This window comes from Homo sapiens, chromosome 10, assembly GCF_000001405.40.
Source record: "Homo sapiens chromosome 10, GRCh38.p14 Primary Assembly".
Classification (NCBI taxonomy): Eukaryota; Metazoa; Chordata; class Mammalia; order Primates; family Hominidae; genus Homo; species Homo sapiens.
This window is the reverse complement of record NC_000010.11, coordinates 97,059,704-97,075,757: the sequence shown is the minus strand read 5'-3', so window position 1 is coordinate 97,075,757 and position 16,054 is coordinate 97,059,704. Positions and strand designations below refer to the sequence as shown.

Below are 16,054 nucleotides of genomic sequence, written 5' to 3'. Positions count from 1 at the left end.
GTGGGACCCAGAAAATCTGCTTTTCTATCAAACTTCCCGGGGATGACGATGCTGCCAATCCACCAGGTGCCAGGGACTCACTTGCTGAGTTATCTGCAGTGGAATCCCGGGCAGCCACTTATTGATAACAGTCGTGTGAGGCTGCCCCGTGCTGGCACCAGCTACCAGTGGGCACGCTGAGTGTGTGACACACACAGCATGTAATCCCATCCTCCCAGCATCCCTGGGAGGTCAGTATTGTTGCAGATGTTGGGAACTAACTGTGGTCCTGCCAGAGGTCATGGAGTGGGTTGGCGGCCTTGAGCCTCAGCCTCCTGACTCCCAGGCCCTGACCCTCCCTCCTCCTCCCTACAGAGCCCAAAAGGCAATTATTAAAGTGTGGGCAATGGCAGCCAACTCTGCCAGTCCTGGCTGAGGCCCCACACTCAGCTGTGGTTAAGCCATATGATAATTATTCCCATTTTACCATGAGAAGACTGAGGCTTGGGGGTTAGAAGATGTGCATGAGGCCAGAGCCTGAGTCCTTAATCCAACCATCTTCTGACAAGGATCTAAGCCCCCAGATGAGGTGCCCTGGTACCCTTGGGGTGCCCTGGTTCAAGGTAACCACTCGGGCTGCAGGGGGCCGAGGGGACAGGCCAGGCTGCCCAGAGCTTCCATGTGGCATGAAAGGCAGACAAAGTAAGGCCTGTGCCCTGCAGTGGCGCCCGAGTGGGCAGCAAGAACCCAGAGCCCAGTCCAGCCTTGGCAGGTGCCCAGCAGCCCTCTGTGTACTCCCACCCCTGCCCCCACTGCTAATCCCCTTAGAGGCTGGTCTGCCAGCAGGGACCAATCAGGTTAGAGCGTGAAGGCAGATTAGCAGCCAGAACATGGGGTCTTGACCTCAGCTTCCCCAACCCCTGCCTCCTCCAGCCCTGGGAGAGGATGGGGGGATTGGCAGAGTGTGCAGAAGGAGGGGCAGCCAGAGCAGGGTGCCTGGGGATGGTGCCAAGTCAGGGTGTGGGCCTGGCGGCCCCCTTGTCTTCAGGGGCGGGCGGCCGACTGGGGTTGCCCGATGCTTCCAGGCCAAGTGGGGGCTGCTCTTGGTGGAGCTTGCCTCCTGGGGTGCTTGATCTTGGCAATGGGGTTCATGCTTTGTCTGCAGGGCCCTTGCCTTGAGCTGGTGTGAACTTGGAACCACTTGAGGGTGTTGGTTGTTAATATCCTGAAGGATGTGTGAAGGGAAGAGGTGCGATTGTTACATCATCCACAATAACAAGTGCTTGCTCGTGCCTGCCTTCCCCTTCTGAGCCTGCATCTCACTGGGTCTGCAGCCTGGTTAGGCAGAGCAGGTACAAGTGGCCGCAGCATAGGTGGGGAGCTGTGGTCTCTCGCCATGCACAGCCAGCCTGTCTGGCCCTGAGCTCCTGCCTCTCCCTTGGCCAGTCCTAACTACTTGTTTTGGCCGGGAAAACGGAGAGGGATTAGAGCAGAGGACTCATGTAAGGATCCATTTTAGTTCATTCAGCTAAAAATTACTAAGTCTCTGCAATGTGCCAGGATATAAGGGAAAGTGAAGGAGAGTGTCTGCTGGGAGGTTATGGTCTGGAGAGGGAGATGGACGTTCACCAGAGTCAGTACTTCATCACATTCGGTGCACCTGTATTTTATTACAAGCCTGGGTTGTGCCGAAAAGTAAAAGTGGGGGTGCTAGGAGCCTGTTGCAGATAGAGCAGCTGACTCAGGCTCAGGGGAGGTGTTTGTAGACTGAGGTGTGAAGGATAAATAGCGTTTCCTGGGTGAAGGTGAGGGAAGAGTATCCCAGGCAGAAGCCACAGCAAGTACACAGGTCCTGTGGATGTCAGGAGGGGTCTGGGAAACTGGAGGAATGTCAGCAGAGGTGAGGGAGTAGGCAGCGGCACCTCTCCCATCAGATCCTGCAACATAAGTGCCGCTTTCCATCCCCATGTTGCAGATGAGAAAACTGGGGCCAGAGAGGTTACATGACTTGCCCGAGACCACACGATTTAAGTGAGTGGAGCCAAGTCTCCCCTGTGACACCCAGCTGTGGGCTTTGTCCTCAGCACCCTGGCCTCTCCGTGAGTGCTCCCTGGACCAGCATCCCCGCATCCCCCAGGTGCTTGTCAGAAGTCTGGGACCTTGTCCCGCCCTTCAGCTTCTGCCCCAGCCCTGTATCTCCCCAGCGCTGTCCTGGGTCTGACTCTGGGGATCTGTCATGGTGCCCTCGTCACTGTCCTGCCCCTGCCCTCCTTCTGAACCCCTGTCTGGCTCCGCTTCCCCGGGCTGGGACAGGCCCTGGCTGCCCTGGGCTTGGCTGTTTGTCCTTCCAGTCGCAGATCCCGCCCGCTTCCAGGACGGCAGTTCTCAGGGTGTCTCATTCTGCCCAGACACATCCTGGCCATCTCCTCACTTCAGGGCGTTTGACAAGGCCGCGTGGGAGGAGGACGGGCAGCAATGACTGGGTCTGAGGAAGATGAAGGTGGCCCAGAGCTCCCGGAAAACTGATGGGGAAAGGCTTAGGTGGTGCTTTTGGGGGGTTTCCACACAGACCAGGGGCAGAAGACATGATAAACTTTATTTCAAAGGGATTTGGGAAAGATGAGACAAGTATTGGCAAGGTAGGAAGTCAGTTGGAGCAAAAAGAAAAAAAAAGAGAATAGCTTTGTTCTGCTAGTTTGCGATGTGGTTGAGGCATCCAGGTCCAGGGAAGGCTTCTGGCGCCCCCTCGTGGGAAAGCTTGAAACAACAGAGCCTTAGGGTTGCTTAGGCTGTGCTTCGGGCAGGGACAACAGCCCGCATTTCTTGAATGCTGCTAAATGGAGGTTGTGATTCAGAAGCTTAAGTACATCAATTCACAATCTTCTCCAAAGTCCCACGTGGTAGTTATTTTACAAATAGGACACCTGAAGCTCTCAGGTGCAGAACTTCTCGAGGTCCATGGTTGGTCAATAGCAGAAGCAGGAGTTGAACCTGGTCCTTCTCTCTACAGGTGCAGGCTCCTTCTACCACCCGCTTTGCTGCCATCAGGCTGCATTTTCCTGAGGCTTCCAAGGTTCACCTGTTTTCCTCTGGCCTCTCCTGGGGCCCCAAATTCACTTTCCTGTCTTCATTTAAACGATGAGGGCTGGTTCCGGCTGTGGGCTGACTGGCCAGGGTGGGACAGTTCCACACCCAGCTTTGGGCCATCTCTTATCTCTTGATGGCCGTTGGCATCACCTGCTGCCTGCCTGCCTGGGGGCTGTGTCTTTCCTCTTTAAGCTTTGGTGCCCCAGAACAAAGCCTGAAAGATGGTCAGAGCTGGGCACAGTGCCCGTGCCTTTAGTCCCAGCTACTTGGGAGGCTGAGGAGGGAGGATCACTTGAACCCAGGAGTTTGAGACCAGCCTGGACAACATAGTGAGACCCTGTCTCTACAAAAATATTTTTTAAAAAATTAGCCAGGCATGGTAGCATGCGCCTGTAGTCCCAGCTACTCAGGAAGCTGAGAGAGGAAAATCACCTGAGCCCAGGATTTCAACAGTGCAGTGAGCTGTGATTGAGTGACTGCACTCCAGCCTGAGTGACAGAGTGAGATGCTGTCTCTAAATAAATAAACAAAATAATTAAAAAGATGGTCATATCACAGCCCTCTCTGTTCTATCCCATCACTCTCCCCGGCCTGTGTGAGGCTTCTCCCAGCTGACACTTGCTTCCCAGAGCCTCTGCTCCTCCCCAGTCATACCAGGCTCTCTCATGCCCCAGCGTCTTTGCATAGACTGGGCCTACCTGGAGTCTGCCTCTGCCTTCTTCCTCTTCCCTACTTAGTTCCTGGTGTGAGTCCTTATAGAAATGCATTTGCTGAATTGTACTTTGATGCTATTATAAGAAACAGACACTCAAACCCCATTAATTATAAGGATCTAGTGTTATTGATTAGGCTACACTGTCATTTTTAATAAACACCCCTGGGAAAATTCTTGCCTCATCTGAGTGCCACACCAGCTGTACTCCTGAGAAGCTGATCCTTTTAGACTTATACGTGTCCCGTGGGCGCTGTGAGCTGACTGGCTCTCCTTTCACGCTGGCTTTCAGTGAGAAAGCTCAGAGCCCCGCTCAGCCCAGCCTGGCATGTGGTCACATGGTGCATGCATTCTTAGTACCCGCCATTGATTCCTCCTCTTCTCTGTGCCTCATTTTTCACTCTTGCTCTCTTGCTGTTTTGAAAATCCCTATAAGCCACCTTAAAGGCTTTCTAGAACAAGGTTGGGTCTAAATCGATAAGCAAATCAATACGAATAAAAAAACCTTCCTTGCAGGGTTGTGGTGAGGATTAAATGGAATAATGAATGGATGTGAGTGCCGGCCCAGCGTTCCTTCCCAGGCTTGGCCAAAGGGTGAGTGGTCGGCTGGGCTGAGATGAGGGTCCCACTGGAGGTCCCGCCTTCCTGACTCTGTGGACGTCCTCAGGCCACCACTCCTTCCTGCCTCCATCTGGCTCTTAATGCACATGCTCTCATCTCCCTGAGTCCCTGTGGGTCAGCAAAGGTGGCAGGCTGTGTCTGTCTTCTCCCCAGACCCCGTCTTTCAGTAGGTGTATGGCCAGCAACTTTCCTCACCTCCTTTCTGGGACCCCAAATCCTCTAAAGAAGCAACCACCTCACTTGATGTGTGTCTTAGTCTGTTCCAGCTGCTATAACAAAATATTGTATTGGGAGGCTGAGGTGGGTGAATCACTTGAGGCCAGGAGTTTGAGACCAGCCTGAGCAACAAAATGAGACCCTGTCTCCACCCGTAGAGCATCTGTAGTCCCAGCGCATCTGTAGTCCCAGCTACTCAGAAGGCTGAGGTGGGGAGGATCGCTTGAGCCCAGGAGTTCAAGGTGACAGTGTGCTATGATTGTGCCACTGCAGTCTGGCCTGGGTGACAGCAAGACCTTGTCTCTAAAAAAACAAAAACAAAATGCCGTAGACCAAGTGGCTTATAAACAGCAGAAATTTATTTCTCACAGTTCTAGAGGTGGGAAGTCCAAGATCAAGGTATTGGCAGATTTGGCGTGTGGTGAAGGCTGCTTCCGGCTTCATAGACAGTGCCTTCTAGCTGTGTCCTCACACGGAGGAAGGGGCAAGGCAGCTCTCTGCGGTCTCTTTCATAAGGGCACTAATCCTATTATAAGGATGGAGCTCACATGACCTATCACCTCCCAAAGTCCTCACCTCCTAATACCATCACATTGGAGATTAGGTTTCAACCTATGCCTTTTTTGAGAGGAAACGATAATTCAGACCATAGCAATGTGTCTTGCAGGCATGTGGTTGGGTCTGCACTGGTGAAGAGCTTAGAAATCTTCTGCTCCAGCCTATGAATTGGACAAATGAGGAAACTGAGGCCCCCAAAAAGAAGTGATGTAGCCAAGTCTCTAACATGATTTCAGCCCATTAACCTGGAGCCTAAGCATGCCCCTCCCTTCCTTAGGGTCATGCCTCAAAGCAACGCTGGATGAGTCATCAATTGTGCGTAACCAATGACTTCAAAACACTGCGGCTTTCAAGAACAAACAATAAACATCTCACAGTCTCTGTAGGTGGCTGGGTGGTTCTGGCTTGGGGTTTTTCATGAGATTGCATCACAATGTTGGGGGGTTGTGTCATCTGAAGGCTTGGCTGGGGCTGGAGAATGCACTTCCTTGATGGCTGGCTCACAGGCTGGCAAGCCTGTGCCTGCTGTTGGCGAGAGGCCTCGGTTCCTCTCCATGTGGGCCTCCCCAGAGAGCTGCTTGAGTGTCCTTATGACCTGGGTTGGGTTCTCCCAGAGAGGGCAAACCCAGAAGGAACAAGGAGGGAGCTACAGTGTCTTTTATGATCTAGTCTCGGAGGTTATCCATTACCGTTTCCATCATATGTGGTTCTTCAGAAGTAAGTTACTGAGTCCTGCCCACATTCAGGAGGAAGAGAATGAGCCTCTGTCTTTTGAAGGGAGGAATGTCAAAGAATTTGTGGATGTCTTTTAACTACCACAACCTCCCACGTACACACACCAGTCATACGAAACCACATGAGATTCCCCCAGCCTGCCTTGTTCCTTCCTGTCTCTGGGTTTCTGCACATGCTGTTACCGCTGCTTAGAACACCCTTTCCTCATTTTCCATTTCTGTCTGGGACACATCAACTCTTTAAGATCCGGTCAGAGATCACCTCTCCTCCCTCCAGCGGACTTGTTCACTCACTTCTCTGCACTCTCCCATCTCTTTGGCAGTACTGCTCCTCCAGCCATTGTTGAAAGCTGGCATGTACACCCCATGAAAGCAAGTCTTTGGGGGTCCCCAGCAGACCATCAGCTTTCAGTACACATTTCTGGGGTGAAGGATTGAAGGTCCACTCACTGGTTTCCCATCTGTGCCCTCTTCTGGGCATGAGTGCTCTAGGGTGGACCATGCACCTGTGGTTAGCTCTGCATCCACAAGCCCAGCCCGGTCACTGGTGCCTGTGGGCACTCCATCAAGGTGAGTTTGGTTTCATGTTGGGCTCCCATGTCAGCCTGGGCTCCTGGTTACTGAGGAACTCGCATGACCATGAGCTCCAGTGTGGGCAGTCTGTTGTTTACCTGTGTGGCCTGTACAGCCCTGCTCTAAATCCAGTAATTTCCCTGCCAGCCCACTCTGCCCAGTGGCAGCATCCCACTTAGGAAGATGGAGAGAACAAGTCCACAAGTCCACAGACCAGGAGAACCATCAAGCCATTAGGGCAGGCACCACCAGGGTAGCAATTTCTTATATGAAGCAGAGACACTAAGAAGAGGATGTGGCAGCCAAGGAACTCTCTAGGCAAGGAAGAGATGATAACAAGGATTAGGCAGGCAAAGACTGAAATGAGCCTCTCAAGACATATGGGGCTGGGGGAGTTGCTGCATAAAGACAGGCATCGGGGAGTAGGCCACTGGGGGCCCTCTGGGGAGTAGCCTAAATGGGCGGAATCTGGGGAATGTCTCCAGGAATACTGACAGACTACACTGGGGAGCTGGCGATATGGCACAAGTAACCAAGATCGAAGATGAAAGATGCCATGGGGAGAGCAGGAAGGGAAGGTGGGGCCGGGCGAGTGCGGGAGGAGGAAGCTTCCCCCACAAGAAGGGGAGATGCCTCAGGGATAGCAGGTGGGACGGCTCTGGAGGAGGGACAGCTGTGTCTGTGCTGCAGGCTTGAACCATCTCCCCTCCAGGAGATGGGGCCTACATCCAGGAGAGAGAGAGCAATAGAGAGCAAGAACGAGGGGCACTGATGGTGCCAAGGCCCCTTCAGACACGGGTGCCTGGCTGCTTTTCTAAAGGCTGTGAGGGGACAGGACAGAGGGGCTGGGTTTGGGGGAGGGAGCACATAGATGTTGGTGCCCACTCTGTGGGGACGGGAAGGCAATTGCTTTGCCAGGCTTTCATTTTTCCCATTTTGTACATGAGGAAACTGGGCTCGGGAGGGGAAGGGTGCCTTGCAGATGTATGGCCAGGAGGGGGAGGGCCAGGCCTCGAACCCCAGGCTCCTCCCTCCAGCTGCAAGTCCCCAGCCCAGAGAAGGGGAGGTAGCTGGGGACTGAGCTCCCTCCAGGACAGGGTGCATCTCTCCAGTTCCATCATTCATTCATTCATTCATTCATTCAACAAATGCTTGGCGAGTGGCTGATGTGGGCCAGGCACTGTCCTAGGTGCTGGGGTGCAGCAGCAGCTGGTCCAGTGCCTTCTCACAGTTCTAGTAGGCAGTAGGAGCCCACCTGCCTCCTACCTTTCTGACTCAGGGCTCTGTGCACACCGTTGGGTTTCTCACCAGGGAAACCCAGACAGGGCAGCGGCGGCCTTGACAGTTCAAGGGGCGGTGTGCGGCGGGGCAGGGGGCTGTGGGCTGTGTTCTCGGACCCTGTGGGGTGAGGGGCTGAAAGGAAGGGCACCGTCAAAGCCCACGGGCCTGGCCCAGGAGGAGGAGGTGGGGCTGTGGAACTGCCTGGCACTGGGGCCTATGTCAGGACGGTCTGCCGCTGGTTGTTCACCTTCAGGACCCCGGTGTGTCTGGGGCAAGGCTCTGGGGCAGGGAGCCCGGGTCCAACCAGGTCAGTTACTTCACATCTCAGAGCTCAGCTCCCTCCTCTGTGAAATGGGCGCAATGGCAGTTCCTACCCCCAGGGCTGCCGCACAAGCCAGGGCTCTGGGACCTGAATGCCTGGGTTCAAATTCTGGAGCCACCACCCACCAGCTGGGTTACCTTGAAGAAGTTGCTTAGCTTCTCTGAGCCTCCCTTTTCTCCTTTGTATAATGGGGATGGTGATAGTATCCACGCCACGCTCCTGGGAAGTACTCAGGCAGTGCTGGCCTGGGGGGAGTGTGGCTGTGAGTAGGAAGAGCTGACCTGGAAAGGGGCGTTTGCACACGTCTGTGGATGCCAGGGAGGCTGCTGAGAGGGAAGAGAGGCAGGTGGACAGGTCAGAGGCCCGGCCCTGACAGGGAGTGGAGGAAGGGCCCCAAAGCTGGCCTGGCAGTCACTGAGGCTGAGGATTTGCAGTCCTGACAGCGCCCCCTCCCCTCGCAGCAGGGCGTTCATGGGGAGGTGTGAAGTCCTCAGTGATCCCAGCCCCTTGCGTGCTCCTGACTCCCTGTGGCCTAGGCTCTCGGAGGTGCCCTGTTGCCTGCAGTCCACAAGAGCACAGGGTTTGGAGTCAGGCCCTGCCTGGAGCTAAAGATCTGGGTGGGCTACTGGCCAACTGGGTCACCGGAGCCAATTCTGTCCTTCCTGAGTCAGCTTGCTCAGCATAAGACACAGAGCGTAAGCCCCAGGCGCACCCACCACAGCCAGCCCAGGGTGCCATCCCTCCCACCTGGTGCCAGACAGTGGTCATCAATCCCCCTCCAGAAGCACCTCTGTTGTATGCCCCTTTGCGCCCTGCACGATGCTGTGGGGGGCTGAACTGGCCTCTGTGGGTCTGGTGGGCTGACCTCTGTGGGCATTAGGCTGTTCTTGTATTGCTATAAAGAAGTGCCGAGACTGGGTAATTTATAACAAAAGTGATTGACTTGGCTCACGGTTCTGCAGGCTGTGCGGGAAGCAAAGGCATCTACTTCTGGGGAGGCCTCAGGGAGCTTTTTCTCATGGCGGAAGCCTGAAGGGGAGCAGGCACTTCACGTGGGAGAGTGAAGGAGAGGGAGAATGGAGGGGGAGGTGCCACACACTTCAACAACCAGAGCTCCCGGAACTCACATGCCATCGAGAAGTCAGCATCAAGCCAGGAGGGATCAGTGCCCATGACCAGATCACCTCCCACCAGGCCCCACCTCCAGCACTGGGGATTACCATTCAACACGAGATTTGGGCGGGGCCAAATATCCAAACTACATCAGGTGGGGTCTGGCAGGGCTGATCGTAGCTGCCCCAGGCTTCTCCTTCCAGCTGCAAGCCCCGAGCCCAGAGAAGGGGAGGTGGCTGGGGACTGAGCTCCCTCCAGGACATGGTGTGTCTCTCCAGTTCCATCATTCATTCATTCAACAAATGCTTGCTGAGTGGCCACTGTGGGCCAGGCACTGTCCTAGGTGCTGGGGTGCAGCAGTGGCTGGTTCAGTGCCCTCCAGCCCACCTGCCCTGCTTCCCTGACTTATCACAGCACTCTGCAGGAACCTCTTTTCTGACCGGTGTTTTCTCTCCCTCTGGCTTTATCCTCCCAGGGACTTGAGTGAGAACGCCATCCAGGCCATCCCCAGGAAAGCTTTTCGGGGAGCTACGGACCTTAAAAATTTGTGAGTACAGGCCTGGGAGGGAGAAGGGTGTGGGGGCTCCAGGGCCACTCCTGGCAGCATCCTCAGGGTATCCCTGAGCGAGCCGTGTGGTCCAGGCAGCCAGGGAGCTGACCTGGGCTCTCAGAGGGCTGGTGCCAGCATGGTCTTCTGGAATAGTCTGGGGTTGGAGGAAACAGGCAGCCCTTGCCTCTCCCTTGGTTGTGATTCCATATGAGAGCCAACGGAGGGGGCCCTTGGGGACCTGGTGAAGCGTGTTATCAGCGTGGGCAATGTTCTCAGTCCATTTAGGTGGCACAGTGTCTGTGCCCGCCTCATATTTGGGTTGGGAGAGCTGGGTTTGAATCTTCTCTTCTAGTTACACATACATAAGGCCGCTGCAAGTCAGTGAACATCGCTGAGCCTCGATATATTGTTCTGGAAAATGGGGATACTAAGATCTACTTCACAGGCATGTTCTGAGGTTTAAATGAAACATGGAAATAAATACACTTTGTCAAATGCTATTTAAATGTAATGGCTTATTATTATTACTATTCAAATGTATTCTGGTCCAGGCTTACCACCTCCTTGAAGTCTGACTACAGCAGGGATGGCAAATGCCTGGCATGCTTGTCACACACACCCCCAACCTCGCCTGTGGCACACATTGATAATCAGTCACCACATTCTTTCCCACAGAGCTCACCTCACAGCTTCAGTTTACTCTGACAGCAGCACTCCAGGTAGCCACCTCTAGTCAACCTCTTTGGCACTCAGGCTGAGGTCTGTTTGCCAGCTCTGGATGTCACTGCTTTGTGACTCTCCCATTTTCCAGCTGCCAGCACCCACTAGGTGGTCTCCAAAATGTGTGTGTGTGTGTGTGTGTGTGTGTGTGTGTAGGGGGGTGCCTGCTCCCCAGGGGATATGTAAGGTTGAGTAGAAGAATATAACTTTTACTTATATTTATGATTTTAACTGAAAATTAGAAAAAAACCCTTAAGTTTTTACTAATGTTCGCTATTTGGATTGACACATATACACATAACAAACGGCTAGGGGTGCACCTCTTTTGAATGAATGGAGCACGCGGTCAGAATGTTTGGACACCCTTACTCTAGGCAATGTGCCCTTCTCTCTACAACCTTCCTTTGCTTCACAGACAGCTGGACAAGAACCAGATCAGCTGCATTGAGGAAGGGGCCTTCCGTGCTCTGCGGGGGCTGGAGGTGCTGTAAGTAAAGCATGGAAAAGGAAGGAGGGGTGTGGAGGGCCCTGCTAGGCAGGTGCCAAGTGCCGCAGCCTAGGCAGCGGGCATCAGGGAGACAGGAAGGGAGAGACCTGCCCTCCTAGAATCACCTCGGAGGAGGGGAGGACAGGCACTCATGGGGTTGTGCCTGCAGCAAGTAGTGTGCCCCAGTATAACCTGCTCAGGATGAAACCCAAGGGTTTCTGGCACTTGGCCTGGAATGCTTCTCCCTTTCTCCCTACCTATCCAAACCCCACCTTTCTTCCAAGCCAACCCAAGCCTGGGACGCGTCCCATCACCCGCCCTGCTCCATCTCCCTATCCTACCAGCCTTGGAGTCTATGGTGCTGTCGGCTTACGGTCACCGTCCCAGCTCAGGGCTTTCCTGTGGGGTGGGATATGCCTCATGCTCTTCGGCTTAGCTCCTCCATGTCCAGCCCCGTGCTGGTCACTTTAAGGTCGAGAGCCTCCCTGTTCGTTAGCAGGGCGGCCCTGTCCCACATCATCTCCTGCTGGGCAGGTGCTAAATGACTCTGGTTTTTCCCATTTAGGACCCTGAACAACAACAATATCACCACCATCCCCGTGTCCAGCTTCAACCATATGCCCAAGCTACGGACCTTGTGAGTCAGCCGGGGCAGCTGGGAGCGGGGCAGCCAAGCCCGGTTGATGCCAGGGGGTGGGTGGGGCAGGAGGTGAAGGTTTTGCAGACAGGTCATGGAGCTCATTCTCCCTCAGACCCCCAGAGGCCAGCCCAGGCTGGGGGCTTCATGCTCTCGGAGGCGGAAGGAGTTATACGGTTGCAGGGCATCCAATGCCACTTAATTTGGTTTTTCCTTGGAAAACAAATGATTTGTTTTTGTGTTTGAAAATGAGCCAGGTGGTTTGGGGAAGTGAGCCTGTGCAAGGTCATTGCGATGACCTGGGCTTTGCTGGGTACATTCCGGTCCAGCTGTGCCCAGAGCATGTGGGAGGGGAGGGGCAGCAGCGGGATCTTCACGGGGCTGTGGATAATCCCCGGGTTGGAGCTGAGCCGTCTACTTGACTAAATGTAGACTGTGTTTGGCTTGAACACAGCACCGGGGGCAGCCTCCTGCCTGAGATTGGGGTTCCCACAATCAGGCTGGGCTGGGGGATCCAGATGGGTTGTGAGCCATCCTGTCCTCTTGCAGCCGCCTGCACTCCAACCACCTGTTTTGCGACTGCCACCTGGCCTGGCTCTCGCAGTGGCTGAGGCAGCGGCCAACCATCGGGCTCTTCACCCAGTGCTCGGGCCCAGCCAGCCTGCGTGGCCTCAATGTGGCAGAGGTCCAGAAGAGTGAGTTCAGCTGCTCAGGTGGGTGCAGACCCCTGCCGGGCTCTCAACTGTCCGGCGCCTCCTGCCCTGCCTCTTGTTCCCGCCCCTAATCTCGACATTAATACCTGGCCTGCCCATCACCTCCTGACCCCGCCCATCACCTGGCCCCACCCATCACCTCCTGACCCTGCCCATCACCTCCTGACCCCACTATCTGCCCCTCCTGCCCCATCCATCACCTCCTGACTCCACTGTCTGCTCCTCCTGCCCCATCCATCACCTCCCATTCTCACCATGGCATTTGTCTCTGCATGTCACTTCTTGCCTCCTCTCCTTTTCCCTCCTGTCCCCTCATTGCCTTGTCCACTCATCACCCTCTTTGTTCCACCCCGATCTCTTTCTGGTCTACTCAGTGCCTCCTCCGATGTCCTCTGGGCTCCTTGCCACTGCTATCACCCCCTTTTCCATCCTCCAATCGCCTCACCTCTGCTGCCTTGACAAGTCGTTGAATTAGGCCCTCTAAACTTGGCTCCAAAAGAGGTGGGCCTCAAAGCCCACACCCTTTCACCTTCCCCCTGGGGTTCTGTCATAGCCTCCTGACTGGTTGCCTACATCCTCCCTGGCCCCTGGCTTATACTACAGCCAGAAGACCAAAAAGAACCCGCAAGTCTGGGAGGTCACTGCTCGTGTACTCACCTGGCCGTCAGCACTGTGTCGAGAGTCTGAGGCTCTGCAAGCTTGGCCAGGGCCACCGCTGCCTCCCCTGCCTCCTGCTGCCTGCAGCTCCCCCAGCTGTGCCTGGCCTGCCTCTGCCCCTTCCTGGTGCAGGTGCCCCCAGCCCTGGCCTCACAGGCTGCTCCCCTGCTGGACACACCCTTCCCTCTTTGTTGCCTGCCGACTCCTCCTCACCCTGCAGGGCAGGGCCCAGGGAGCCTTCTGTGATCCTACATGAGGTCCCGCATTGTGTTTCTGGTGCATCCTCAGCACTTTGTCTTTGCTTGGCACAGGAAATACTTGCTGAATGAAGGGACAGTTCTCAGATTTGTGACAGAGGATTTAGAGGCTGACTGTTTCTCCCAAACCCGTGGACTGGGCCTGCCAGCCACACAGAGTTCTGAAGGAAAGCATCTCCTAGGCACAGCCTCCCCTCCTCAGTGTGAGGCTCTTGGCTGTGGCTGTCACCTCCTCCATTGCACTGGCAGACACCCAGTGCAATGGGTGGGCTTGAACACCGCTGTGCTCTGCACTGCTGTGTGTGTGTGTGCATGCAGATGTGCGTATGAGTGTGTGTGCCTGTGTGCGAAAACCTGTGTGCATGTCTCTTGTGTGAGCCAGGACTGCCTCTGCATCATTGCAGCTGCCACAGTTTTTAGGAATTGGAATGGGTAAATCACTTGGACAATTTTTATTTTGAAATGAAACCTTTTCCTTTGCATTTGGAAGACCGTGGTTTCTATTTTCAGACATGAGTTTCTCCTCTGGAGTCTGATCAGCCTGGCAACCCTTTTCCTTTGAAGGCCACTGTCACAATATGCCAGGAATCCATGTAGCTTTGTCTCATTTGGTCCTGGTGCCCACCCTTTGGGGCAGCCATGGAAAATATTCGAAGTTAGAATGCTGGTGGGGGTATCAACTGGCTCAACCACTCTGCAGAACTGTCTAGCAGGATCCACTAAGGCTCAACATCTGTCCACCCTGTGACCCTCCAACTCCTACTAGGTGTGTGCATTTTTTCTGCAAAAATGTCCAAAAATATTAAAGGCAGCTTTTTCCATAATAGCCCCAAATTGGAGACAACCTGAATATCCACCAACTAATTATGATGTATCCATATAATGGAATACTACTCAGCAATGAAAAAGAACAAACTACTGATACACACAGCAACATAGTGAATCTCAAAGATTGTATATTAAGCAAAAAAGCCAGACACAAGAGAAACTACTGTTTCATTTATGTGAAGTTCGTAAACGAGCAGAACAAATCTTTGGCAATAGATCTCAGAATGGTGGTTACTTTGGGGAAGGGGCAGGAGGGAATCTTCTTGGGTAATGGAAATGTTCTATGTCTAGGTAGTGGTCCCACCAGCTACATGCTTCAGAAAGAACACTTTGTATAAGTTATACCTCCATTTTTTCAAAGGCTCTTATTTCAGACACTGGGCTGGATCCTGGTTTTACCACTTATTAGCTGTGAGAATTTCTACAAATTAATTAATATCGAGGACTCTGTTTTCTCAGCTGTAGAATGGCAACAATAATAGGCTCCTCTTAGGCTTAAATGCAATGCTGCATGTAGTGCACTTATTATAGCATGTGGCATACAGTAAGTGCTTGAGTGTTTAGGAAACATTATCACCCTCATGGGAGAGATGAGGGGACTCAGGCTCAGAAGTGTTAAGTGACTTGGACTAGAATCCAGAGCTTCAGAATTCTAGGCCAGGATTTCTTAGTGTATGAATCACACACCAGTGCAGTTCAGTTCAGATTCAAGTTCAGCAAACATCTGACAAGAACCTGCTGTGTGCCAGGCACCCACAGAGTTATATCAAAGTCCAGAATCTTATTTCATTAGTGATCCCCTCTGGTTCATCCTTATCGAGAGAAACTGCCAGTGTACACCCTATCCCATCCATCAGTCGGTATCTGGGCTCAAGGGAGGTGCTGATGCATGACAGCCTGAGGCCACACCCCCCTGTTTCTGCAGGCCAGGGAGAAGCGGGGCGCGTGCCCACCTGCACCCTGTCCTCCGGCTCCTGCCCGGCCATGTGCACCTGCAGCAATGGCATCGTGGACTGTCGTGGAAAAGGCCTCACTGCCATCCCGGCCAACCTGCCCGAGACCATGACGGAGATGTGAGTACGGGGCAGGGCAGATGCTGGGGCACAGCCCTTTGGCAGGCCTGGCTCTGGAGGGCCAGTGAAGAGCTGGAGTAGGCGCTGCCTCAGGGCTTGCCCCAACCCCTCAGTGGCCGTAGAGAAGACACAGTTTGCCTCTGCTGGGCTGAGCTTTGTGTCCAGGGCTGGGAAACTCTGGAGGGCTGGGGAGGGAGTGTCCCTCTGGGGTCCCACCCAGCTGCGTGAGTCTGCTAGAATCAGGTTCTCAGCATCATTTGTGGGCCCCTTTCAGCTACAAATGCCTGTGATAATGGAGCGCAAGTCAGCATTTTCTCTGTCTGTCCCGGCGTCCTTACCCCAGACTTCAACTTCTGGAAGTGGGAAGGGAGCAGGGGCAAGAGGGGCCAAAGGATTATTCAGGGCAGGTGAGCCCAGCAGATAACACCCAGGGCTGGGCTGACCTGGGCCCTTGGGCTTCCCCTCTCTTTTCTCCCCGCAGACGCCTGGAGCTGAACGGCATCAAGTCCATCCCTCCTGGAGCCTTCTCACCCTACAGAAAGCTACGGAGGATGTGAGTGCCTCCCACTGCTTCCTGGGGAGCTGGTACAGGGCTGACGGAGATCCTGGGTGGTCCCACAGCCCTGGGGCAGGCCCTAACTCAGCCCCCCACAGCTGAGTGGCCTTGGCCAGCCACCTGACCTTCCTGCCCTTCAGGCTGCTTGGCTGTGATGCGGGGACCTCCTTGCAGGGCTATCGTGAGGCCTGAAGGGAGTGCTGAGCCTGAGCCTGGCCTGTGATGGGAGCTGCTTGTCATCCTCCCGTTTCAGCTTGGGTACCAATAGGAGCAATTAAGGATGGGAGGGGGCTAGGAGACTGCCAGGATGCATGGGAAAGCTTTGTCCATAACTTCCCAAGCTGGAGTGCCCCCTCCTGCCCAGCCCTCAGACTGCACAG

At 54.4% G+C, this 16,054-nt stretch overlaps 1 protein-coding gene across 1 annotated transcript in view, besides 2 other annotated features; it reads left to right on the top strand.

Annotated features, from left to right (window-relative positions):
• SLIT1 (slit guidance ligand 1) overlaps nucleotides 1-16,054 on the top strand; it is a 187,922-nt gene that overhangs the window by 110,202 nt on the left and 61,666 nt on the right. Inside the window, exons 5-10 of the mRNA NM_003061.3 lie at nucleotides 9,672-9,743; nucleotides 10,882-10,953; nucleotides 11,519-11,590; nucleotides 12,140-12,303; nucleotides 14,971-15,118; nucleotides 15,600-15,671. Of these exons, the coding sequence (NP_003052.2) occupies nucleotides 9,672-9,743; nucleotides 10,882-10,953; nucleotides 11,519-11,590; nucleotides 12,140-12,303; nucleotides 14,971-15,118; nucleotides 15,600-15,671 (600 nt within the window). The remainder of the gene's footprint in view (nucleotides 1-9,671; nucleotides 9,744-10,881; nucleotides 10,954-11,518; nucleotides 11,591-12,139; nucleotides 12,304-14,970; nucleotides 15,119-15,599; nucleotides 15,672-16,054) is intronic.
• Nucleotides 2,632-2,926: a silencer, noted in NCBI's record as "tiled region #3512; K562 Repressive DNase unmatched - State 12:CtcfO". NCBI's record gives its function as "represses a minimal TATA promoter and a strong SV40 promoter by Sharpr-MPRA in K562 cells {active_cell/tissue: K562}" and the evidence as "EXISTENCE:reporter gene assay evidence [ECO:0000049][PMID:27701403]".
• Nucleotides 4,764-5,963: an enhancer, noted in NCBI's record as "BRD4-independent group 4 enhancer chr10:98829552-98830751 (GRCh37/hg19 assembly coordinates)". NCBI's record gives its function as "activates an origin of replication core promoter dependent on BRD2, P300/CBP, MED14 and CDK7 cofactors, and independent of BRD4, by STARR-seq in HCT116 cells {active_cell/tissue: HCT116}" and the evidence as "EXISTENCE:reporter gene assay evidence [ECO:0000049][PMID:35650434]".